This window comes from Homo sapiens, chromosome 17 (assembly GCF_000001405.40).
Source record: "Homo sapiens chromosome 17, GRCh38.p14 Primary Assembly".
In the NCBI taxonomy this organism is placed as follows: Eukaryota; Metazoa; Chordata; class Mammalia; order Primates; family Hominidae; genus Homo; species Homo sapiens.
In genome coordinates this window covers 45,015,852-45,039,851 of record NC_000017.11, presented here as the reverse complement: position 1 = coordinate 45,039,851, position 24,000 = coordinate 45,015,852, and the positions used below count along the sequence as shown (strand labels likewise).

Below are 24,000 nucleotides of genomic sequence, written 5' to 3'. Positions count from 1 at the left end.
CAGCCACTGCGCCTGGCCCCAGGGGAGCATTTATTCACCACTCCCAGGAGAGCTCTGAACCACTGAAGGGGAGGAAGAAATCACCAGTGTGACTCTCAGCCTCCCTGGGGAGCTGCACCGTTCTTGGCACTGAAACTCCAGCCCCTCTCACTCACAAGTGTGGGGACTGAGGCTCAGAGGAGGGAAGGCACCCGGGGCTCAGCTGTTTCTTGTATGGAGTCCTTACCACCCTGGGCCAGGCTGGAGAGAAGACTTCCTGCAGTCACATGGGTAGTTTTATCACAGAATTCAGAGACCAGGACCCAGGACTTTCCACTTCCAGTCCACAGCCTTTCATTTTAGCCATGGTTCTGGGCCTAGCTGATTCAGATTCAGTGGGCTGGGGTAGATGGAGCCTGGGTGTCTGTACCTTTTGTAAGTTTCGCAGTAAATTCAGATTATAGCCAGGTTTAGCACTTGCTGTGAGGAATGTACTGCCTCTGTGTAAGCGGCAGTGGAATGTGGGAAGCCAGATCGGATTCTGGAGAATGATGACTTGACCAGAGCAGAAAGAGGGTCATGAACACAGGTGATCAAAGGTGGTCGTTTGTTCATGTGGGCCTGACAGGGAGCTGCTGGCAGGTCTAGGTGTGACTTGGAGGCCGCTGGGTACCTAAGCCTCTATTTCCTCCTTGCTGAGCTTTGGGAGCACCGTGGGCTGCAACTTCCTCCCTGGCAGATCCCAGTAGATCTGTGCGCAGCCAAGTGAGTGGGAAGGCACTCATACAGCAGGCCCAGGGCCAGCACCACCTGACCATTCCTGCTTACCTGTCAGCGCTCTGTTCTCAGATGTTTTCATCTGGTACTATCTAGCTCTCCAGTTTTCCCAAGGGGCAAGACTTGTGTTTTCCTCTGGTTACCCAAGAGGTCCCTGGCACCGTTCCTGCAGAGCACAGAGATGCTCAGTGGATGGTCAGTGAAGGAATGAGCTACAGAGGGGCTTGTTGGACAGGAACAGCTGTTATTTGTCAAGGCCCTTTTAAGTTGGGGACCCGGAGCCTCCCTGGGCGTGTGCTCCTTTGTCCGCTTGGCCTTCCTGATGGAGGCCAAGCAGCTGTTGGTCTGTTTCCACAGACACTCGGTCAAGGCACTGAGAAGGGAGGATACTCATTAGGTAACCCGGGAGGCTGGAATTTCCATCTGTGCTCTGGCCATTGTCCACACACCCCCTCAGCCCCCATTCTGCAGGAAGAAAACAGTATGATAATCAAGAAATTATTTCTCTTTGGCTCTGAATCGATTTGCCTACAAACAGATTCATCTTCCTTACTTTGTCTCATTAGTCTAAAGGTAAATTAATTTTTCATTCCTTGAGTACATTAAAGGCAGGGGTCTAGACTAGGGGTTAGGAGCCCTGAACTGCATCCAGCCTTTGATAATAGCTGCTGGTGGGAAGTCCCCTCCCTTCTCTGGTCCTCAGTCTCCACTGCTGTAAAAGAAGAGTTAGAATTTATCCTGAGCGCTGTTACACATCAGAACTGCCTGGGTGGGCAGATCACCTGAGGTCAGGAGTTTGAGCCAGCCTGGCCAACATGGTGAAACCTCGTCTCTACTAAAAATACAAAAAAATCAGCCAGGCATGGTGGTGCATACCTGTAATCCTAGCTACTCGGGAGGCTGAGGCAGGACAATCTCTTGAACCCAGGAGGCAGAGATTGCAGTGGGCCCAGATTGCACCGCTGCACGCCACCCTGGGGGACAGAGAGAGACTCTTGTCTCAAGAAAAGAAAAGAAAAGAAAAAAAGGCCAGGCATGGTGGCTCACGCCTGTAATCCCAGCACTTTGGGAGGCCGAGGTGGGTGGATCACCTGAAGTCAGGAGTTTGAGACCAGCCTGACCAACATGGTGAAACCCCATCTCTACTAAAAATACAAAAAAATTAGCCAGGCATGGTGGTGGGCACCTGTAATCCCAGCTATTCGGGAGTTTGAGGCAGGAGAATGGCGTGAACCCGGGAGGCAGAGCTTGCAGTGAGCCGAGATCACACCACTGCACTCCAGCCTGGGCAACAGAGTGAGACTCTGTCTCAAAAAAAAAAAAAAAAAGCTCTTGAAGCTTGGCGTGGTGGTTTACGCCTGTAATCCCAGTACTTTGGGAGGCTGAGGTGGGTGGATCACCTGAGGTCAGGAGTTCGAGACCAGCCATGGCCAACCTGGCAAAACCCCATGTCTACTAAAAATACAAAAATTAGCTGGGCATGGTGACGGCTGCATGTAATCCCAACTACTTGGGAGTCTGAGGCAGGAGAATCGCTTGAACCTGAGAGGCGGAGGTTGCAGTGAGCTGAGATGCGCCATTGCACTCCAGCCTGGGCAACGACAAGAGTGAAATTCCATCTAAAAAAAAAAAAATTCTTTCTAGATTTTCTATTTCAAAGCTTCAGCTGAGTGGCTGACATTTTGTTTGTTTGTTTTGTTTGTTTGTTTTTACAACTGAACCCTGTCCTTTTTGTGACCTAGAGGGAGATCACCAGCCTCAGAGAGATGGAGGAGAAATTATTATTTTTTTTAATAGAGAGAGAGCCTTGCTGTATTGCCCAGGCTGGCCTCGAACTCCTGGTCTCAAGCAATCCTCCTGCCTCAACCTCCCAAAGCACTGGGATTACAGGCGTGAACACCGTGCGTGGCCTAGAAATGATTGTTAAATAGTTGATTAATGTAGCTAGGTCTCTCCATTTGGATGATGACTCCGTGGTGGATAGTTTCCTCTCTCCACCTCTGGCTTTCCGGGGTGAGAATGAGCAGTGGCAGATTTCAATTTCTAGGTTGGTCCCCTGCTGCCCCAAGCCAGGCACCAACTCAGCCACATCCAAGCAGCTGCCTCCCCTGTCATTTGGTGTGTCCTCACGGGAGGCAAACTCATTTCAGTGTAAGCTCAAGCAAAGTGTAATTAGGACAGTAAATCTGCTGCTTAACGGCAACAAAAAAAGTCCTATGGCAGATTTTACAGTCCTGGAGAAGTGATTTGAGGCTGAAGGAAGGGTGGGAGAGACCTGGCCTTTGATTTAATTGCTTCCAGCCTGGGAACAAAGTCCAAGACATGGTAACCTCATTTACTCCAGAAAATGCACCATGACTCCTTAAAAGTTTATGGTGTGATAGTCTGAGGTTGGAGGAATAGGGACATGATTTCATGAAAGTCTTTTTTTTTTTCCTTTCTATGCCTTGCAGTGGAACTGTAACTCCTACTTTTCACCCTGTATCACTATCCTCACTTCCATTTTTGGGATATTTACCATTTATCAAGCAACATACCATGGACTGCAGATGCATTTTCTTTTTCTTTTTTTTTTTCTCTGAGACGGAGTCTCGCTCTGTCACCCAGGCTGGGGTGCAGGGGCGCAATCTCCGCTCACTGCAACCTCCGCCTCCTGGGTTCAAGCGATTCTCCTGCCTCAGCCTCCCGAGTAGCTGGGACTGCAGGCGCCCGCCACCAGGCCTGGCTAATTTTTTGTATTTTTAGTAGAGACGGGGTTTTACCATGTTAGCCAGGATGGTCTCGATCTCCTCACCTCATGATCTGCCTGCCTCGGCCTCCCAAAGTGCTGGGATTACAGGCGTGAGCCACTACGCCCAGCCAAGGCAGTCTTATGATCCTAAACCTCATTTTATGGATGAGAAAACTGAGGTTCAGGGAGGCAAGCGGCTTGCCCGGGGTTGCAGCACATGTGAGTGGAGGAGCTGGGTGTGAAGAAGCCATGCCCCAACCTTTGTGCCGTGCTGCCGCTGCTTGGTCTGAGGACGCCACAAACCACGACGCCAGCTCAAAGTCACACCACCAGCATCGCCCAGCCTCCTGGCCTTTCCCTCACATTCCTTCTTGGCAAGAGTGGTACTTTTCTAAACCTCGGCCTTAGTGGCTGCCGAGCCACTGCTTGCGGCTCAGTTCCCCATCTGGGCCAAGAGGATTGTGCGTCTCCATCTATATCAGCTACCCAGGCAGTCCTAGTGCTGGCGTTCAAGGGGAAGTGATCCATGGGACCTTCTGTGGGGAGGAGGCCTTGGGGCAAAAGAGGGCCCAGGCACCTGGACTCTATTTGTGGTCTCTTTTGCATCTTCCGTGGATGGCTGCAGGCAGGCCATTTCTTTCCTTTGAGCCTCAGTCTCCTAGACTAGAAAGTAAAGGCCAGGGGGACCAGTGGGCATCTGAAGAGTGCTGTGGGTCTACCACAGAGAGACAGGTGTCTCCTTCCTCTAGGAAGTTGGCCTCCAAGGGGATCCTGCCTCGTCCAGGAAGCATGCTGCCTAACAGCACCTGACCTTGCCCTGCCTGTTCAGCTTTTGATTGCTGAATTTATAGTGTTCGTTTGCTTTTTTTTTTTTTTTTTTTTTTAGAAGGAATCTGGTTCTGTCACCCACGGCTGCAGTGCAGTGGTGGGATCTCAGCTTACCGCAACCTCCACCTCCCAGGTTCAAGCGATCCTCCTGCCACAGCCTTCTGAGTAACTGGAATTCTAGGTGCACGCCACCACGCCCAGCTAATTTTTGTATTTTTAGTAGAGATGGGGTTCCACCATGTTGGCCAGGCTGGTCTCAAACTCCTGACCTCAGGTGATCCACCCACCTTGGCCTCCCAAAGTGCTGGGATTACAGGTGTGAGCCACCACTCCTGGCCACATTTGCCTTCTTTGCGAGTGTTTTTAAAATACTGGAGGCCTTTCCTGGAGGGTTTCTCCTCTCCAGATGGCCCCAGAGCACCCCAAGCTCAGGACATGTCCCTCCCCAGCCAAGCTGTCTCCCTTTACTTCCTTTGCCTCCTCTCTCCCAATTATTTTGGCCCAAACTGATCAGTCCCGCTGGCCTCTCCCAAGCAGGTCCTTCTGGCACTCCTCTGGTGGACCGCCCCCATCGGCCACACTTGCCCTGCTCTCCAGTGATTCTGTAGCTCCTGGCTCCGTAGTCTCGCGGACAGCTCTCTTTCCTGGAAGATGTTTCTGGTGGGCCTGACAGGGGGCATTGCCTCAGGCAAGAGCTCAGTGATCCAGGTGTTCCAGCAGCTGGGCTGTGCGGTGATTGACGTGGACGTGATGGCCCGGCACGGTGAGTTGGAGGGGCAGGTTGGGGGGCCGTGCACAGCAGCTCCCCACGCTTCCGGCCTTCTGCCATGCCTCCTTTTTTTATAAGTCTCAGAGGAGGGGAAGGCTCCTGTTGACCCTGGTCTGACTTCTGTCTCTGCCCCGTGCTTGCCTTCTCTGCTCTTCTATTTTCTGTTTTTAGAAACCCCCCAGCTGTACCCCATTACCAGCACAAGGGATCCTGTACACTCTGCTCTTTTCCTTCACTGCTTTCTCTACCCTCATTTTGCTTTTGCTCCACCTGAAAGAAGCACCCGAGTTCCCCCATCATTTTGCCCCTGGTCACTGAGGTCCTCTGACTGGCCCTGAGGCTTCAGGGAGTGACCCAGCTTCTTCCTCCTGCCACAGTCGTGCAGCCAGGATACCCTGCCCACCGGCGCATCGTAGAGGTCTTCGGCACTGAGGTCTTGCTGGAGAACGGCGACATAAATCGCAAGGTCCTGGGGGACCTGATCTTTAACCAGCCTGACCGGCGGCAGCTGCTCAACGCCATCACCCACCCCGAGATTCGCAAGGAGATGATGAAGGAGACGTTCAAGTACTTCCTCCGGGGTAAGTGCCAGGGCCTGGGGCGGGGGGCGGGGCCTCCTTCCAGGGCCAGGGCCCTTCTCCTCTGCAGAAAGTTTGGCCAGGGTAGGGGAGCTGGTTATCCCAGCTGATGAGTTCATACTGCTTACTGGCATCCCCTCCACACAGAGCCCCGTACCAGCCCCAGAGGAAAGAAGCACGTTCCCTCAGCTCTTAAGGAGGCTGACAGTTTAATGAGAAGAGACACATGAGGCTTTCGAGCCATGAGCCCAGGAAGTAAGTTGGTTTTTCTAGTAGGGATGGGAGTAATAAGAGCTGGTGAATAATGGAGCCATAGATCTGAGTTCAAATCCCAACCCTGACTTTCTAGCTGTGTGACTTCATTGAGTGATCTCGCCCTCAGCTCATTTTTTCATTTGTGCAGTGGGGATAATAATCCAACATGAGGCTGGGCACAGTGGCTCATGCCTGTAATCCCAGCACTTTGGGAGGCCGAGGCAGGCAGATCACTTGAGGTCAGGAGTTTGAGACCAGCCTGGCCAACATGGTGAAACCCCGTCCCTACTAAAAATACAAAAATTAGCTGGGCATGGTGGTGTGCACCTGTAATCCCAGCTACTCGGGAGGCTGAGACGGGAGAATCGCTTTAACCTGGGAGGTGGAGGTTGCAGTGAACCGAGATTGCACCCTATACTCAGACTGTCTGGGCAACAGAGCAAGACTCCGTCTCAAAAAAAAGAAAAAATCCAACGTGAGCATGTTAGGAAGACTGAGGGTCCAGGTCAGTGACTGTCAGTTAATCACACATGTAAACTGCAGTCAGGGGCAGGTTTGGTTCTGGCTGAGCCATTTGGGAAAGCAAGTTTGTAGACTGGAAATTGGGAAGGGACCAAGATGGCCAGGGTGGGTAGGGGAAGGGGAGTATTTGAAATCAGAGGCCTGGGGCCAGTTGGCAAGAACCTTCTTCCAAGCTATATGCCATGGTTCAAGCCCTGTTCTTTTTTATTTTATTTTATTTTATTTTATTTTTAGAGATGGGGTCTCACTATGCTGGCCAAAGTGGTCTCAAACTCCTGGCCTCAAGCAATCCTCCCACCTTGTCCTCCCAAAGTGCTGGGATTACAGGCATGAGCCACCACACCTGGCCTAAGCCATGTTCTTCAGGACAGCATTGCACAGGGGTGGCCTGATGCTTACTTTACAGGTTGGGGTCAGTCACCAGAAGTGGGAGGGAGAACAGAGGGCGGTGGCTTGGGATCTGGCAAGAGGCTGGCCTAGGGCTGCTGGAGATTTGCATGCCAGCCTTTGGCACATGTGGCCTCCAGCCTGGGCCTCCGAGTTGAAGGCCTGGTTGCCTGTCACCCCACTCTCAGTCACTACACTGAGACTCTCCTTCCACGAGGGTATAGGGGAGCCTTTTTTTTTTTTTGAGATGGAGTCTCGCTCTGTCACCAGGCTGGAGTGCAGTGGAGCGATCTCGGCTCACTGCAACCTCCCTTCCCGGGTTCAAGCGATTCTTCTGCCCTCAGCCTCCCGAGTAGCTGGGACTACAGGAACATGCCACCAAACCTGGCTAACTTTTGTATTTTTAGTAGAGATCGGGTTTCACTATATTGGCCAGGCTGGTCTCAAACTCCTGACCTCATGATATGCCTGCCTCGCCCTCCCAAAGTGCTGGGAATACAAGCGTGAGCCACTGTGCCTGGCTGGGGGAGCCTTTTACACTGTGACCATGGCCAAGCCCCTTATTCTGTCATGCCTTGAGTGAGCAACCTCCCCCCACCCTCATCCCCCTGTGGCCAATACCTCCCTCCAAAAGAGGGATGACTCGACAGACATCCATGATGCTGACCCCAACCCCCTCCCGTCCGGGCTGGAGCTGGCTCCCGCATCTTCTCTGCTGAACCAGCGTGTGCGCTCCATCTCAGCACCATGCCGCAGGCCTCCTCCCTGCCTCCCTCAAGAAGAGTCCTCCCTCTGGACTCTTTGTGCTGCCTCCTATGTTGTGCCAGTGTCCTTCCCGTCCCCCACCCAGAGTGAAGTCATCTGCCTTTCATTCCTGCCCTTTCTGCATTCTCTCCCATGCCAGTTACTGGTATATCTGCAGGGCTTCGAGGCGGCAGTGGCTCTCCCCTTCTGAAATTAAACATCGGATAATGTCACCAGCTCCAAAGCTCTTTCACTGTGTCATCCACCCAGCCTCCCGCCTCCCCAACCACCACCACTTAAATAAAAGCCAGAGAGCCCTTTTGAGCTCGATAAGGTGAAAAATGAGGACGACAGCTGTGGCTTCCACAGTCCCAGTTTTTCCCTGATGAGTATAACAAATACAACTGTCAAAGTTGGTATAATCAAACGTCAGATAAGATCACCAGCTGTTGGGGACTTCTCTGTGTAGGCAGACGGATGTCTTAATAGAGTCAGGATGGTTTGCAGAGCTTATCAGACAGGAGGGATGTGACAGCTGAATAGCCCTTTGCTGGTGAACCAAATAGCTGACCACGTACTCCCCAGAGGGGCCGGAGAAAGGACAGCAAGGGGAGAGGAAGTGATGGGAGCTGAACAGGAAAGGGAGATAAGAGGCCCGGAGAGGATCTAGTCTTGGCTTCTGCTCCAAGTTAGGGAGGCGCACCACACTGTTGGCCTCCCCCTGCAACAGTAACTATCATTTTGGGGCACCTAGCGAGGGACTGGTGAAGGAGTAGTACTGCATGGTTCACATATTTTCAAGGCTCATTTCATCTTTACCATCATCCTGTGAAGTAGGTATTCTTTTTACTCATTTACACAGATGAGGTTTACACAAAAGGGGGCCCAAGGTCACATGGTGGGGAAGGTGGGGGGGCTACCAACCAAGGTGTGTCATCAGAGCCTATGGTTTTAACCCCCTTGTTCAACTGTGGGCTTCTCTTGGGCTTCCTGAGCAGCAGGTCTTGGGGAACAGGAAACCAAGCAGCTGAGATTGCCACCCCCCCACCGCCATTGTCCCTGCATCACTTTGAGTGCAAGTTTCCCGTGACACCCTTGGAATTGGTGTGATGTGTGTCTGGTTCTGTGCTTGGAAGTGTTTGGAGTGGGATGCTCCAGGGGTGCAGTCTCCTGCCCCAGCCAGGCCAGGGGTCTCTGGGCAGAGAAGCATTTTCCTATCTCTTACCCTTCTTGCTCTCCTGGAGCCCTCCCAGCTTTGTACACATGCACAGGGGTCACTGACCTAAAAAGAACGAGGAGCGTGTAGCCCACAGCAGCCTACGGATGTGCTCACTCACAGTGGGTGGGGGTGCTGCCCTTGACTGGCCTTGGCTTGTGGTGGGAGGTCCAGCCAGTGCCTTTTACACTGCAGGAGTGTAATACAGTTTTAGGCATAACTGCCCGCTCTGACTCCAGATCCAGGCCTTACCCTGGCTGTAGGTCTGCCTCTGATGGGAGAAGCAGCTTCTTTCTGCTGCTGCCGCCCCAACGTGAGCCTCTCATGGAGAGTTGGTAGAGACAGCCCACCTTGGCTCTTGTCAGCAGGGCTGGGCCTGCACCTGGCTCTTTGGGGAGAACCTATCTTTTGGGTGTTTTGTTTGTTTGTTTGTTTGTTTCTGAGAAATAACAACTTGAGATTTAAGATCAAGGTGAACTAAACCCTTAGTGCCTGCCCTGATCACCTCCTTGCCTCACACGGCCTGAGGCCTCTGCTTCAGCCCGCACAGTAGAGCCTCCCTCTCCCTGTGCTGTGGTGGTTCTCATTCGTGGAATCCTCACCTTCACCTTCTCATTTTCAAGTATCAAAAGACCTGCCCCCCACTTTTCAAGGCCAGCACAAGTGCCAGCCCTTCTACAAGGTCTTCCCTGATCAGCTATCCAGAAATAATTTTCTGCAGCCTTCTGTTCTGCACGGCATTGGAACCGGCCAGTGTGCAGGGTATGTGTGTCCTTGGAAGGCCTGCCCCTCTGCTGGGCGCTCTGGACGGTGGGGCCCAGCATATCATCAGTCCTCAGTGTGCGCTTGCAGAATTGAACTTGGGGGATTTCCAACCTCTCCCCAGGATACCGCTACGTGATTCTGGATATCCCCCTGCTGTTTGAGACCAAGAAGTTGCTCAAGTACATGAAGCACACCGTGGTAGTATACTGGTGAGTGTGTAGCATGCCCTGGCTGGAAGGGAGGACCATGGGGGTATCTGGGAAACAGCCCACATCATTTTGCACTTTGCCCTTTCCCCACGGGGCGGCCAAGAGGCATGGGGGTTTGGGCAGCAGTGCTCAGGGTCTGTAGAAACCAACCTTTGTGCCTGACGCGGATAGTCCTGGGGGCAGGTGTGGGAAGGGACAGCCCGCGGGCTTCTCTAGTGTTTGGGGAGCGCTCCCCCGCTGACCATTGCAGGCACTTCAGCCCAGATGCCTGGCCTCGCCCTGGGCCACTGTTACTCAGTGGCTCCTTCTTCCTCCTGTAGCACCTTTATTACTTTGCACAGTTTACCTCTCAGTGGGAGGTGGTCAGGACAGGTGTTGATATTCCTATTACTGAAGATAAAATTAAAGAGGGGGCAGTTACAGAATGTGTCCAGGGTCACCCTTTGGCAACACCTGTTACGAACAGAAGGTTTCGTGGAAGGGACTGTCAGCCCAGCTAAGGAAGGCACTTTGTTCTCAGAATTCCCCAGGACACGGAGCCAACCAGAATCCAGGTTTGACAAACAGGAGGATCAACCTGTGGGGGGAAAATGAGTCCCTGTCCCAGTGGGGTGAAAGTAGATGAGTCCGCAGGGTATCTCTGCTACCCAGAAGCTTCCCGGATGCCACCCACAAGTACAGCAGACACATAGGTGGGCACTTGGCTCTGCTGGTATTTTGGGCATAGGTTGGCCCTCAAGGGCCTAAGGCATTGGAGGCTCCCAGCACGCTGGAGGCGGAGCCTGTGGTGCTCAGTGCCCTGAAAATCCCCCTGCCTTTCCCCCTGGGTCCCCATGGGCTGTCGTTGAAAGCCCAGTCTGAATCCCTTGAGCCCAATGCAGGGACGCAGGCATCCTCTCAGCTCCTGCACTGGGCCGTGCTGCCTTATGTGAGTAAACCTGCAGCCTCTTTGGGTTCTTCATTCCCTGTTTGAGAGGCTAACTAAGGTCAGGCAAACCCCACGAAGACCTGGAATTCTCTTTGCCTTAGTAGCACGATTGGAGCTTTGTATTTAGGGATAAAAACATTTTTTTTAAAGGATCTTAGAGGCCGGGTGCAGTGGCTCACGCCTGTAATCCCAGCACTTTGGGAGGCCGAGGTGGGTGGATTACCTGAGGTCAGGAGTTCGAGACCAGCCTGGCCAACATGGTGAAACCCCATCTCTACTAAAAATATAAAAACTAGCCCGGTGTTGTGGCGGGCACCTGTAATCTCAGCCGCTTGGGAGGCTGAGGCCAGAGAATCGCTTGAACCCAGGAGGTGGAAGTTGCAGTGAGCAGAGATTGCACCATTGCACTCCAGCCTGGGCGACAAGAGTGAGCAAAACTCCATCTCAAAAAAAAGGCTGGGTGCAGTGGCTCATGCCTATAATCCCAGCACTTTGGGAGGCCGAGGCAGGTGGATCACCTGAGGTCAGGAGTTCGAGAGCGGCATGACCAACATGGAGAAACCCCATCTCTACTAAAAATACAAAAATTAGCCAGGCATGGTGGTGCATGCCTGTAATCCCAGCTACTTGGGAGGCTGAGGCAGGAGAATCACTTGAACCCAGGAGGCAGAGGTTGCAATGAGCCAAGATCGTACCATTGCACTCCAGCCTGGGCAACAAGAATGAAACTCCGTCTCAAAAAAAAAAAAAAAAAGGCCGGGTGTGGTGGCTCATACCTGTAATCCCAGCACTTTGGGAGGCCGAGGTGGGCGGATCATGAGGTCAGAAGATCGCGACCATCCTGGCTAACACGGTTAAACCCTGTCTCTACTAAAAATACAAAAAAAATTAGCTGGGCATCATGGTGGGCGCCTGTAGTCCCAGCTACTCGGGAGGCTGAGACAGGAGAATGGTGTGAACCTGGGAGGCGGAGCTTGGAGTGAGCTGAGATCGCACCACTGCACTCCAGCCTGGGCGACAGAGCGAGACTCCATCTCAAAAAAAAAAAAAGGATCTTAGAGTGTAGATGAGAAGACAGCAGGGGCCGACACCTGCATGTGCATTCACCAGATGACCCCGCGCCCACCTCTGGCCATTTGTCCTTCCTGTGCTTTGCTTTTTTTTTTTTTTTTTAAATTGAGATGGAGTCTCACTCTGTCACCCAAGGTGGAGTACAGTGGCGCGATCTCAGCTCACTGCAACCTCTGCCTCCCAGGTTCAAGTGATTCTCCTGCCTCAGCCTCCTGATTAGCTGGGATTACAGGCGCACGCCACCATGCCCGGCTAAGTTTTGTATTTTTAGTAGAGACAGGGTTTCACCATGTTGGTCAGGCTGGTCTTGAACTCCTGACCTTGTGATCTACCTGTCTCGGCCTCCCAAAGTGCTGGGATTACAGGCATGAGCCACTGCGCCCGGCCCTTCCTGTGCTGTTCTTTGAGGTTGGTCTGTTTGCCGAGAGCAGAGGTGGCCATGGGTTTTGGTGGGTGAGTGGGGCTTTGTTGATTGTGTGTGCTCTCCAGGAGACCTTCAGCCCCACTCACCGGCCAGAGGAGCCTTTGCCAGAGTCCTGGGTGCCACTCATGCCCTGCTTTCAGTGGGTGTGGGTGTATAACTCTTGAGAGATGCCAGAGAGGTGGTGATGCTTTTCACCAAAGGGATCTAGGCTTTACAAAAATAAGGACTCCCTTGTGGATTTCTTTAACTGAAAGACTACCCCTGGTGCATTTGAAATTACTTAGGACATCTCCTGAAGTGTGATTATACCAAAACATGATTTCATGCTGGTTTCTTTTTTTTGAGACAGGGCTCAGGCTAGAGTGCAGTGGCACAATCACAGCTAACTATAGCCTCAAACTCCTGGGCTCAAGCAGTCTTCCACCTCAGCCTCTTGAGTAGCTGGGATTGCAGGCATGCAGCATCACATCTGACTAATTTTTTTATTTTTTGTAGAGATTGGGTCTTGCTGTGTGGCCCAGGCTGGTCTCAAGCTCCTGGGCTCAATGATCCTCCTCCTCGGCCTACTAAAGTGCTGGGATTATAGGCATGAGCCACTGTGCCCAGCCAATTTCATGTTTTTGAAAAATTTGTCAATTGTGGAATAAGTGGGTAAAAATCCTATTACAACAAATTGTACCAAGTCTTAGACTAACTAGAATAGGACCATTTCTGAGCCCCAGGAAGGGCTGTCGGAGGTGCTGCCCCACATCCAGGAGGCTCTGTGGTCTGGGCCACACCTTCAGGAGGATGTGCACCTACTGGGAGCCCCAGGCCATCTCTAATCTCACACTAGATTCTCCCACCCACAGATATGTGGTCTCCCTGATGAAGGCTGGATTTAGTCCTTGTTCTCAGCGAGGTGGGTATTGGCCCCACAATGGCCACAGTACACTGACCCCGTAACAGAGGAAATCTATAGCTCGTATAATTCATTTTCATGGCAAGTGGCTGCATTTGTTTTTGGCCTCACTTGGTCTGCTTCCCAGAATCCCTAAGAAGGGACCAAACTGCCAAGGTGGGAGGATCACTTAAGCCCAGGAGTTTGAGACCAGTGTAGGCAACACAGCAAGACCTCGTCTCTATATTTATTTAAAAATAAAAAAGCCAGGCGCGGTGGCTCACACCTGTAATCCAGCACTTTGGGAGGCCGAGGCAGGCAGATCACAAGGTCAGGAGATCGAGACCATCCTGGCTAACATGGTGAAACCCCATCTCTACTAAAAATCAAAAAATTAGCCAGGTGTGGTGGCGGGCGCCTATAGTCCCAGTTACTCGGGAGGCTGAGGCAGGAGAATGGCGTGAACCTGGGAGGCGGAGGTTGCAGTGAGCCGAGATCGCACCACTGCGCTCCAGCCTAGGTGAAAGAGCAAGACTCCATCTCAAAAAAAGAAAAAAAAAAAAAAAAAAAGTCCAGGCGCGGTGGCTTATGCCTGTAATCCCAGCACTTTGGGAGGCCAAGGCGGGTGGATCACCTGAGGTCAGGAGTTCAAGACCAGCCTGGCCAACATGGTGAAATCCCGTCTCTACTAAAAATACAAAAATTAGCTGGGCATGGTGTTGCACGCCTGTAATCCCAGCTACTTGGGAGGCTGAGGCAGGAAGACCTCTTGATCCCAAGAGACAGAGGCTACAGTGAGCAGAGATTGTGCCACTGCACTCCAGCCTGGGCAAGCGAGACTCCGTCTCAAAAAAAAAAAAAATACAAAAATTAGCTGAGCTTAGTGGCGCATGCCAGTAATCCCAGCTACTCAGGAGGCTGAGGCAGGAGAATCATTTGAACCTGGAGGATAGAGGTTGCAGTGAGCCAAGATCACGCCACTGCACTCCAGCCTGGGCGACAGAGTGAGACTGTCTCAGGAAAAAAAAAAAAAAAAAAAAAAAAGAAGGAACCAAAATGTAGTGATCAAACCCTTCCATTTTATAACTGGGAAAACTCAGGCCTCGTGACAAGGCAGAAAGACCCCAAATGGTAGAAAACAGCTGCTGCAACCCCTTGTGCTCTTGTCCTCACTGAGGGGCTGAAGTAGCTCTTAGAGCTAGAGGGGTGTTAGAGGTAACCCCGCTCCAGAGGACTGACTGTAGCCCAAGGCAAGAGAGGGAGTTTCCTGAGGAAGGACCCAGATGGTGACCTCAGGGTGGGTGAAGGAGGTATTCTTTGAATTTCTCTTGGAGTTGGGAGACTTGATATTGTCCGACCTAATCTGCAGTGCTGAATCCTGTCCCACAACTAAGGGGGACCAATTCTCATGTCCTTGATCCTCTTTGAAGCACCTTGGGCTTGTCTGTCCCACATCATCAGTGGCATTAAGCACAAGAGATACCATCTTAGCACAATCCTTTTACTCTAAATGTTCAGGGGAGGGGTATAGCAGCAAGGAGAGGGGGTCTCTGTGATGGCCCAAGGAGGTATTTTTGATACTGAAGACCCAGGCCCCCAGGGGAACTGCAGGAAGCGTCTAGCTCATAGGCATAGGCCTTTCAGTAAAGGTCACCCATCCAGGGATCCAGGATGTAGCTGGTTCCAGGTGATGAAATCTTCCCACCTTATGACTGGGGAATGTCAGGTCTAGTAGCAAAGCAAAGAGACCCCAGATGGCAAAAAAAAAAAAAAAAAAAAGAGCTGTGGCCAAAGTTCCCCCCTTGTTTGTATTAAGGGGCTTCCGTAGCCCATAGAGCTCTGGGTTCCTCACAGTGAGTGGAGTGGGGTGTGAGGCAGCCAGTGAGCTTCCAAGCCTCCCTCCCTGGCTGTGGGACCCTAAGTAGCCCAGAGCAGGGTAGGGTTGGAGGGAAGATCCAGTCCCCATGCTCTCTGTTTCAGGCTGGGCCTGGCAGGGCTGCCTATCCCTGTAACTTGGGGTGAGAGGGAGGCAGGACCTACAGTGCCCTTTTGCCCTATCCTTAGCGACCGGGACACACAGCTGGCACGGCTGATGCGGCGGAACAGCCTGAACCGCAAGGACGCAGAGGCCCGCATCAATGCCCAGCTGCCCCTGACAGACAAGGCCCGCATGGCCCGCCATGTCCTAGACAACTCGGGCGAGTGGAGTGTCACCAAACGCCAGGTCATCCTCTTGCACACTGAGCTGGAGCGCTCCCTGGAGTACCTGCCGCTGAGGTTTGGGGTCCTCACAGGGCTCGCTGCCATTGCCAGCCTCCTCTACCTGCTCACCCACTACCTTCTGCCTTACGCCTAGTGGGGCACTCAAGGCAGGGAGCCCCAGGCCTCCATCTATCTCCTTGGAGGCTGAAGCCAGGTAACACATCCTGTTTCCTCTCAGCCCCCTCCCCACACACACACACACACACACACACACACACACACACACACACACACACACACGGACTCTCCGAATCAGGGCTGGGCCTCTGTGCCAGGCCATCCCGTCTTTGGAGTGTATCCTATTTGAGATCAAGAAATAGCCTGCTGTCCTTCCCACCTTCCCTGAGCAGCACCTACAGAACAGCAACCGTGATGGTGTGTGAAAGCAACAGTCAGAGACTGCTATACATTTCTGTGGGTGGGGGTAGGGAATACTGGCTCTGTGGCCCTCCTCAGAGCTGGGAGGCCAAGGGTTCACTGGGCTTGAATCCTCTCTAAGCACCTACCCCATTGTGGCCTAAACCTCCTCAGTGGACCACGGGAAATCATGTTGGACCAAGGGTTTCCATGTTCAAACAGTCAACAAGGCCCTCCCCTAGGTTGAGATATTTTTTATACTGAAGGCCCAGGCCCCCCAGTATGGCTTGCTGCCAGCAAGCAGCAAGGATTCTCTCGTGGGTAACGCTGTAGCCAGGCAGGACCAGCCTCTTCTGGGAGACCCCTCTCCCCACGTAGGGTTTGTGTAGTGCTCCCACATCCTGCTTATTGCCTGCCACCCCTGCTTCTCGCCTGGACCTCTTGGTATTCCGTGTACACCATCCTTGCTGTTTCTTGCCTCTGTGCCTTCAACCTGCTGCTCCTGGCCTGGGATACCTTTTATTTTCTTTTATTTCTTCTTCCTTTTTTTTTTTTTTTTTTTTTTTAACCTACAACTAGCTCTCAGTTCAGGCACTGTCTAAAGCCCCAGGCTGGGTTAGGTGGTCTAGGATACCAACTCCCCCTCAACATTTTACCTTAATCCAACAGTACAGTAATTAGCCGAAACTTGCCTGGTTTTTCCTACTAGACTGTAAGCCCTCTAGGGACAGGGACAGTGTCTTATTCATCTCTGTGTTCTTAGTGCAGAGCCTGGCCCGCTGTTGGTGTTTAATAAAGTGTGTTGATCTGAAATGCCCCAGACCAACCAAGATTCCCAGACTTGGCTTCTTCCCACACTGGGCTGGAGTCCTCCCGGAGCTCAGGGGGAGGTGAGGGCCCCAGAAGGTGCACTTGCCATCAGGCTTCTCCCTGGGTCCCAGGAGGACTGCAGCCAGGCCCGAGGCACCTTTGTGGGAGGTGGGTAGAGGGCTGAGGCAGCGTCACACCTTCTTGCCCCGCCTCCCCATCTGCCTTCCCCAACCCAATTAGACCAGCGCAGACATAAGCCTTCCCTGCCAGGGCCTGCAGACTTGCTGATGTGTTGATCCTGCAGCCAGAAGCCTATTAAGGCTAGAAATGAGTGTGACGGATGCAAATGCTGTGGTGGCCATACTTAGTGCCCCCTTTCCCAGAGCCGCTTGTGCTGAGTCTAGCTCATTAACTTGCTGCAAACCCCTAAGGGGCAAAGAAGGGCCGGGTAAGGCAGTGGTGGGCTGCCAGGTGGGTGGCCAGGCAGGATGAGGGTGGCAGGAGCCTGCCACTTCCTCGGTTTGGTGCGATCCGCCAGGACGGAGAAAGGAGAGGGAAGGTATGGACCCCCACAGTGCCCTATCACCCCAATAATTGAGGAAATGGCACTTCCTAGTATCGGCAGCATGCCAGGCACTGCTGGATGTGTAAGACCCTATAGTTAACATAACACTGATTATTTCCATCCCAGGCTCAGAAAGATGGATTTGGTCCAGGTTGCAGAGCCAGGCTTCTGAACTCTCTCCTGTGCCCTGAGCCTCTTGTCAGGAGGAGCTGGAGCCTGGGGTTGGGCCTTGGGCTCGCATTCCGGCTCCGCTTGCCATGTGACCTCCTGCCTTTAGTTTCTACTCATACATCGTTAGGCTTCATAGTGGAGGACACTGAAAACCCTTAGCAAACTGTAAAGTTCCAGAGAATTAACCTTCCCTGACCCAGTGAGCTGGGTTTGAAGCAGGAATGTCAGAGCATGGCAGGTGTGGAGAAACCTCGAATTCAGCCCTGCCCTGCCCGGGCCTCGCCAGAGCTCCCTCTCCAGCTCCTCTTGCCTCCCTGCCCCAGGATCCCCTTCCCGGCCTTGGGGGTCCAAGGCGGCCTTAAAAGAAGGACTACTTTCTCCGAAGGGGACTTGAAGTTGAGGCCGCTCAGCAACTGCAGAGGTCGGGCCTCCGGGACCCAGGCCCGCGCCCGAGCCGGCGGCCTGCCGTTCGGCCGGCAGGTGGCAGCACCCTCCCGGGCTGGGCCGGGCCTCCGCGGCGGGCGCTCGCCGAGCGGCCTAATCTTCCTCCTCCCAGGCCGCGGGCGGCCTCAGACTCCTGCCGAGCAGCTGCCGCGGGAGCACGGGCCAGGTGGGCGCGGAGGCTCTGCCTGACCCTGAGCGCTAACTCAAAAGGTGCGTTGTTCGCCCACGTCCTCTGAGCCTGGGCTGCGGGCCCTGGGTGCCAAAGGGCGTGTCCCCTGCCCACCCACCGCGACGGCGACGGGACCCTGCAGCCTCCGCGTTCCGTTCCCTCACTTTGGGCCTTAGCACCCGGAGCGGAGCAATAAGACACCAGCGAGGGTGAAGACGCACACGCCTTCTGGGCGGGGGACGAAGGGCGCAGGCAGGCCTCTAAAACACCCCCACCCCCAGGCCCGACTGGCCCGAAGGTCATTCGCAGTTTCACAGTTTACAAAGCACGTTCCAGTTATCCCCTTGAAATCTCCCAGCTGTGTGAGGCAGACAGGTCCAGAATTTTACAGAGGCTCAGAGGTTGAGCCAAGGGGCCTAAGTAGCCAACAGGTATAACCACCAAGCTTCTTGACTCCCAGTACAGTGCTCCTCCGGCTATCTGCACTGCCCCCATTATACACTTTGGCTCTTTAGTAATTGACAACTCTTCTTCAAATGTTCATTCTCTCTCTCTCCTCATGGGGGGCAGGGCAGAGGCAGGGAAAGGTTTAGGACCTTCCATGATGAGCCTCCATGGCTAGAAATTGAATGGGAGCAGGATAGGCGCGCTGCTGAGCGCCCCTAGTTCTCACCAAGGCACTTTAGGTCAGAAGGAAACAGTCTCAGAGCAGGAGGGGGAATGCGATGGCAGTGATGACTTCAGGCCATGGGGTCATATAGGAGTGGGCAGGGAGACCCCCGGACATGGTGGGAGAGAAGGAGCAAAAGGAAGGAGGTGATGTGGTGCTATAGGTTGCTTTCCTGCTCCTTCCAGGAGAGACGTGGCTGGTGGTTCCTCATCCCACCTGCAGAGCTGAGGCTGCACCCAGCTGGGACCCAAACCGCCTCTCTTTGCTCCCCACCTTCCCCTCCGCTCCCAGTCACTTAGATTCCAATACAATTTCCAGCTAACCAGCATGTCGATAGAACAAGTCGGGCGGCCGGATTGCTGGCCAATTACAGGAAATCATTCTGCTCCACAGCTCAGCGCTCAGGAAGGGAGAGGGAGGGAGGGAATTCAAGGGAGCAGGCGCCCAGCTTACAGGCTGGGAACGGGCTTCAGGCAGAAGGCTGGGAGTGCTGCAGCCCCCCACCCCTGAGGGGTGGGGGGTGGGGGAGGCTCCTAGGGGCAGGCCAGCCCTAGGCTCATCCTCAGCCTCATGCGGAGCTCTGGATCCAACTTCTGTGTGATGGGGAGATTGGTGCCCCAAGCCACTAAGAGAGACAGAGCTGGGAGTTGAGTGTGGTTGAGGGTCCGGCAAGCGAGGCATCTTAGTGTCAAAAGGGATAGAAGCCGAGATAGCAGGACCACCCTCTCCCAGAGCCCTATGCACCAAGGAGTGGGCATCTGAGGGCCTGGAGGCTAGGGTCCACACAAGCAAGACCTGTGCTCTAACAGCCCGCTGTGGGCCACGGGGTACCTAGGAGGACAGGGGAAGGGGTCGACAGGGAGCGGGAAGGAAAGGGGCCACAGCCCACAGCTGAGTGAACTAGCAGCAGCCTCATCTGGTGAAGGAGTAAGTCTTCCACCCTGGAAGGTGGGGCACAGAAATGTGGGAAAGGCCAAGGGCCCCCTCCCTCACCTTCCTAGCTCCTCTGCCTCAGCTCCTGCCTCTGGCCCTCAAGAAAATTTCACTCAGATGAAAGGACCCCAGCTCCCCTCCTCTTTCCTTGGATCTGAATCTACCTCTGCCTTCTATGCCGACCTGGATGCCTCTTTGCCAGCCCCACCTCCTCCCATCACATCTCTCCCAGAACTGTTCCTGTGCCCCAGGCTGCCCTACCCGGCTGACCAGAGATGCTCTGCCTGTCGCACAGTGGTGAGCTCTTCTTCCCAGCCCTTCCCCTCTACCCTCAAAGGACTGGAAGATTCTTGAGGAAGAGAAACTTCCCTGTGGGCTAACTTCACCCAGTGAATGACTATTGTTGCTGTTTGTCTTGAACCCCAAAAAAGGCAACTGTGACCCAATGATCTCCTCCTCTGCTCCAAGCTGTGGCCACCTCCCAGGACCCCTCTCCAAACCCCCAGGATCTCACTACTCTTCTCCCAATTCCAAGCCCTCCCCTTCAGACCCCTCCAAGGTTGGGTCCTGGGATGGATTCACTGGCAGCTCTTTTGCCAACCCAAGAGTAAAGGGGTGGACAGACATGGAAGAGGAGACTGGCTTTGGAGCCCAGTGCACCCAGCACCCAGTGGCGCTCAGGAAAGACCTGAGTGATTGCACCGAACAACAAGGTCATCTTCAAAGTTTGTTTGGAGAGGTGCATAGGGAGAACAGGGTCAGCGCCCCGCGACGTCTCCTTCCCCGGGTTTTCTAGCCTAGTACACAGGCTCACACTCCGCGGTGGAGGTGTTGGGGTTGGCCCTGTGTGTGACCCCCGCTTGGCACACGGTGGCCACCCCTCCGCTCAGCTGAGCTGAGCTAAAGCCGCGGCTCCCGGGCTCCTAGCACCGCCTCCGCCATCCCACCCTCGGGCGCTGCCTCCCGCGGGCCGGGCGCCCGGTGCTCGGCGATCCGGAAGAGGGCGCCCGCCCGGCCCACGTCCGCCGTGTCCCCGCCCGGCGCGCCGCGCTCGCCAGCCCGCGGGCTCCGCGCCATCGATCGGGCCGCAGGGACCCGGGTGAGCCGCCTCCCCACCCCTCGCTTTTCGCTTTTAATTGAAGTTTGTTTGAGCAGAGCGCGGAGCGGGCAAAGGCAGAAACCAAATATTTAGTTGCTGCAAATTGGCACCTCCAGATCAATTACCCGGCCAGTGTCAGGGCCCTCGCCGCCCCCCGCGCCCCGCAGAATCTCAATGCCACGCTGCCCCCGCCCGGGCCGCCCGCGCCGCCCTCGCCGCCCTCGCCGCCCTCCTCCATTACACTGCACGTTTTTCATCAGCTCCAGCCAGACATCACCCGTGGCCGCGAGGGAACAGATTTTCAATGGGAAAAGTTCCCCGGGAGGGTCCTTGTTGCTGATTCCCGCCGCGCCCTGCGCTGTCTGGCCCCTGCCCCCACCTGGCTTGTCTGACGGAGACAGCAGATGGGTGGAGCGAGCTCAAAGCAAGGACTTGGGGTCAGGAAGACCAGGCCCCGTCATAGGAACTCCCCTTACCCGCTGGGTGACCTTGGGGAAGTTACTTATGCTCCCTGAGCCTCGGAGTCCCCCATAACATGGGGGCTCAACCTTCACCTTGTGGGGTCAACAGCATGGAGGGACAGCACCCTGCCCAGGGCTGGCACACAGTGACTTTCCACAGATATTAGTTCTCACCCTGCTAGGGGTTAAAACAGGCTCTAGAATGAAATGAGAGACAGTGAGTTCGAGGCGACTCAACCAAGCCACTGAAAAATACCAAAGGGAAAGCAGCAGACAGCCAGCATCCCCAGAGTCTCTGGCAGGGGCTGGACAGGCCCCAGGACCCTGGTCAAGCTCCATCAGGGAAAGTCCTGACCCCCAGCCCAAGTGCATCTGGGCACAACCAAAAGAGAAGCCGCTTTTCCAGTACCAGGGGTGGAGAATGAGAGAGCCATGATCCCAAGGCCACAGCCAGGCAAGGAGGCCGGAGGGATCTGAAAAAGGTCACCAAGGGCTCCTGACCCTTGCCAAGCTGAGTACCAGGAGGCCAGCCTTGTGGCAGGGGGGAATCAGGACAGCTGGGCTGTAGTTGAGGCTTTGCCTTCTCCTGGCTACATGTTGCTAGTCAAGTACTTAACTTCAATTTTCCCATGTGTAAAATGCGGCTGACACCCTCTACCTCCCAGAGCATTTGTGAGGAGCAAATGAAGTATGGGAGAGGGGAGGAAACTCACAACCAGCATGAAGAAGATGGGGCCAAGTTTGTGTGGGAGTCTCCTTTCCCATGCTCAACACTGCTCCCATCCCAAGAGCCCCTGAGGGAACTGGAGTCAAATGCCTAGCCTGGCATTTTTAACTGTCTGCTCTGCCAGAGTGACAGGGCCTCTGGGTGGGAGGAGAGGTTAGGGGAAGACTGTGAGCCTCAGGCTTAGTGCTTTGAGAGCCCTTTTTAAAGAATGAGGCTCCTCCTCTGCCAGCACTACCCCCCAGCTGTCCCGCCCCCAGGGTCTCAGTGCAAGAGTCAGCCCCACCTGGAGGAAAGTTATTTTCCCATCAAATCCTGAATCCAGGTGGAAAGGCAAGGTTGATATGGAATCCAGAGCCTCAGTTCCCTGCCAATGGGAAGCAAACTCACTCCTTGATTTTCCCATCTGTGAAATGGGACCACAGCCAGTAATTATGAGGTGCTATTTGAACTGGTGGGTAATCTCTTTTATTATTATTTATTTATTTATGTATTTATTTTGAGGCAGAGTCTTGCCCTGTCACCAGGCTGGAGTGCAGTGGTGCGATCTCGGCTCACTGCAACCTCTGCCTCCTGGGTTCAAGCGATTCCCCTGCCTCAGCCTCCAGAATAGCTGGGACTACAGGTGTGCGCCACCACGCCCGGCTAATTTTTTGTATTTTAGTAGAAACGGGGTTTCACCATGTTGGCCAAGATAGTCTTGATCTCCTGACCTCGTGATCTGCCCGCCTTGACCTCCCAAAATGCTGGGATTACAGGTGTGAGCCACTGTGCCCGGCCTTTTATTATTTTTTTAATTTTTTTAGAGACAGGGTTTCACTCTAGCCCAAATGAGAGTGCAGCAGAGCCATCATAGCTCACTGTAACCTTGAACTTCTAGGCCCAGGTGACTCTCCCGAATAGCTAGGATTACAGATGTGCACCACCATGCGTGGCTAATTTTTTTCTTTTTTTTTTTTTTTTAGAGACAGGGTCTTACCATGTTGCCCAGGCTGGTTTCAAACTCCTGGCCTCAAGTGATGCTCCCGCCTCGACCTCCCAAAATGCTGGGATTGCAGGCATGAGTCACCACACCCAGCCTGGGGTGACCTCTAGAGGCTGCTGAATCCATTGCCCTGCCTTCTACACTCACTCTTACCCACTCCACCCCTACCTGCAATAGGATTATCTCTGCTGGCGAAACAACCAGCCTCTTTGGAGATGGCAGCCCACCATTTGTCAAGCCAGGAAGACCTTCTGACAGTCTACCTTAAATCTCTCTTTGGTACCCTCAGGGAAAATTGAAACAACGAACAGCAAAAAGATAAATGCATATGGATAGGCAATGCCACACTATTTTTTTAAAATACCCGCAAAGAGGGTGGGAGAGCGGGAATTACCTTCAGACACAATGCTCTTTACACTAAACATCTTGGCGAAAAATATGGCTGTGTAATTCTTTTTTCTCCTTGGCAAAGAGAAAGGCTGAGGCTGGGCAGAAAGGCAGAGGGACCCGAAAATATAAATCAATATGTGACTTTAATATATGTGCTTTCGGTGTCTGTGTGTGCTGGGGGATTATTAGTAACCTTGATTCCAGCTCAGTGTCCATGCGAGGCAGGGAGATGTGCGGCCCCCAGGGAGGAGAAGAGAAATTAGGAAGCCAAATTCTTCTCCTGATTGACACCTGGGTAAACATTATCCTGGCAGAAAGGGAAGAAAAAAAGATCAATGCTGGGTATTTTTATCACGTTCCAGGGACAGACGGGGGGGAAATTAAAGAAACAGTCCCCTAGAATCACTGAATATGCCCATCTTCAAGGAGTAGCTAGATAAGGCGGAACCCAGGTGGAGGAGTATGGGTGGGAGAGAAATGGGCATGTCCCAGGGAGCAGTGGCCATTGCTTCTTCTACCCTGATGTATGTGAGTGGCAGCAGGTACAAAGGAGCCATGGCTTTAGTTGCAGGGTGAAGGCAGCAGCTTTGACGGGGAATCGTAGGCCAGAGTCTAACTCAAATCAGACTTCGGCTTCAACAGAGGCCCAAGAGGCATTTGTCTTAATGGGATTTGTCAGGGGGCTGTTTCTAGTGGAAGATTCCTGGAGTGTGGGAAGGGGGCAGTGGCTGCAGGAGGGGCTGGGTGTAGTGAGTGATCCAGTGTGGGTCAATGCCCATGGGGAAGCAGGGACATCTCTCTGGATTGTCTCAGATCTAGAGTCAGGAAAACCTGGGCCTCCACCCCTTCCTGGCTATATGACCTTGACCAAGTCATCTGACCTCATAGAGTCTCACC

The 24,000-nt window shown here is 53.7% G+C and overlaps 1 protein-coding gene across 9 annotated transcripts in view, besides 8 other annotated features; it reads left to right on the top strand.

Moving 5' to 3' along the window:
* The window catches only part of DCAKD (dephospho-CoA kinase domain containing), a 37,794-nt gene extending 21,280 nt beyond the window's left edge, over positions 1-16,514 (top strand). For 4 of the 9 annotated variants that reach the window (NM_001321326.2, NM_024819.7, NM_001128631.3 and 1 more), the window contains exons 2-5: positions 4,853-5,078; positions 5,462-5,665; positions 9,673-9,760; positions 15,128-16,508. In NM_001321326.2, the coding sequence (NP_001308255.1) occupies positions 4,967-5,078; positions 5,462-5,665; positions 9,673-9,760; positions 15,128-15,419 (696 nt within the window). In that variant the 5' untranslated portion in view covers positions 4,853-4,966 and the 3' untranslated portion in view covers positions 15,420-16,508. 9 annotated transcript variants of the gene reach the window in all.
* Positions 3,307-3,807: an enhancer, noted in NCBI's record as "H3K4me1 hESC enhancer chr17:43113413-43113913 (GRCh37/hg19 assembly coordinates)". NCBI's record gives its function as "activates a minimal SCP1, AML or CMV promoter by ChIP-STARR-seq in primed H9 embryonic stem cells {active_cell/tissue: H9 hESC(primed)}" and the evidence as "EXISTENCE:reporter gene assay evidence [ECO:0000049][PMID:30033119]".
* Positions 3,808-4,308: an enhancer, noted in NCBI's record as "H3K4me1 hESC enhancer chr17:43112912-43113412 (GRCh37/hg19 assembly coordinates)". NCBI's record gives its function as "activates a minimal SCP1, AML or CMV promoter by ChIP-STARR-seq in primed H9 embryonic stem cells {active_cell/tissue: H9 hESC(primed)}" and the evidence as "EXISTENCE:reporter gene assay evidence [ECO:0000049][PMID:30033119]".
* Positions 9,296-9,345: an enhancer, noted in NCBI's record as "active region_12269". NCBI's record gives its function as "activates an Ori minimal core promoter by ATAC-STARR-seq in GM12878 lymphoblastoid cells {active_cell/tissue: GM12878}" and the evidence as "EXISTENCE:reporter gene assay evidence [ECO:0000049][PMID:35858748]".
* Positions 17,471-17,820: a silencer, noted in NCBI's record as "silent region_8607". NCBI's record gives its function as "represses an Ori minimal core promoter by ATAC-STARR-seq in GM12878 lymphoblastoid cells {active_cell/tissue: GM12878}" and the evidence as "EXISTENCE:reporter gene assay evidence [ECO:0000049][PMID:35858748]".
* Positions 20,301-20,480: a silencer, noted in NCBI's record as "fragment chr17:43096740-43096919 (GRCh37/hg19 assembly coordinates)". NCBI's record gives its function as "represses an EF-1alpha promoter that drives an FKBP-Casp9 reporter gene in an ReSE screen in K562 erythroleukemia cells {active_cell/tissue: K562}" and the evidence as "EXISTENCE:reporter gene assay evidence [ECO:0000049][PMID:32094911]".
* Positions 20,301-20,586: a biological region, named in NCBI's record as "ReSE screen-validated silencer GRCh37_chr17:43096740-43096919".
* Positions 20,337-20,586: a silencer, noted in NCBI's record as "silent region_8606". NCBI's record gives its function as "represses an Ori minimal core promoter by ATAC-STARR-seq in GM12878 lymphoblastoid cells {active_cell/tissue: GM12878}" and the evidence as "EXISTENCE:reporter gene assay evidence [ECO:0000049][PMID:35858748]".
* Positions 21,097-21,226: an enhancer, noted in NCBI's record as "active region_12268". NCBI's record gives its function as "activates an Ori minimal core promoter by ATAC-STARR-seq in GM12878 lymphoblastoid cells {active_cell/tissue: GM12878}" and the evidence as "EXISTENCE:reporter gene assay evidence [ECO:0000049][PMID:35858748]".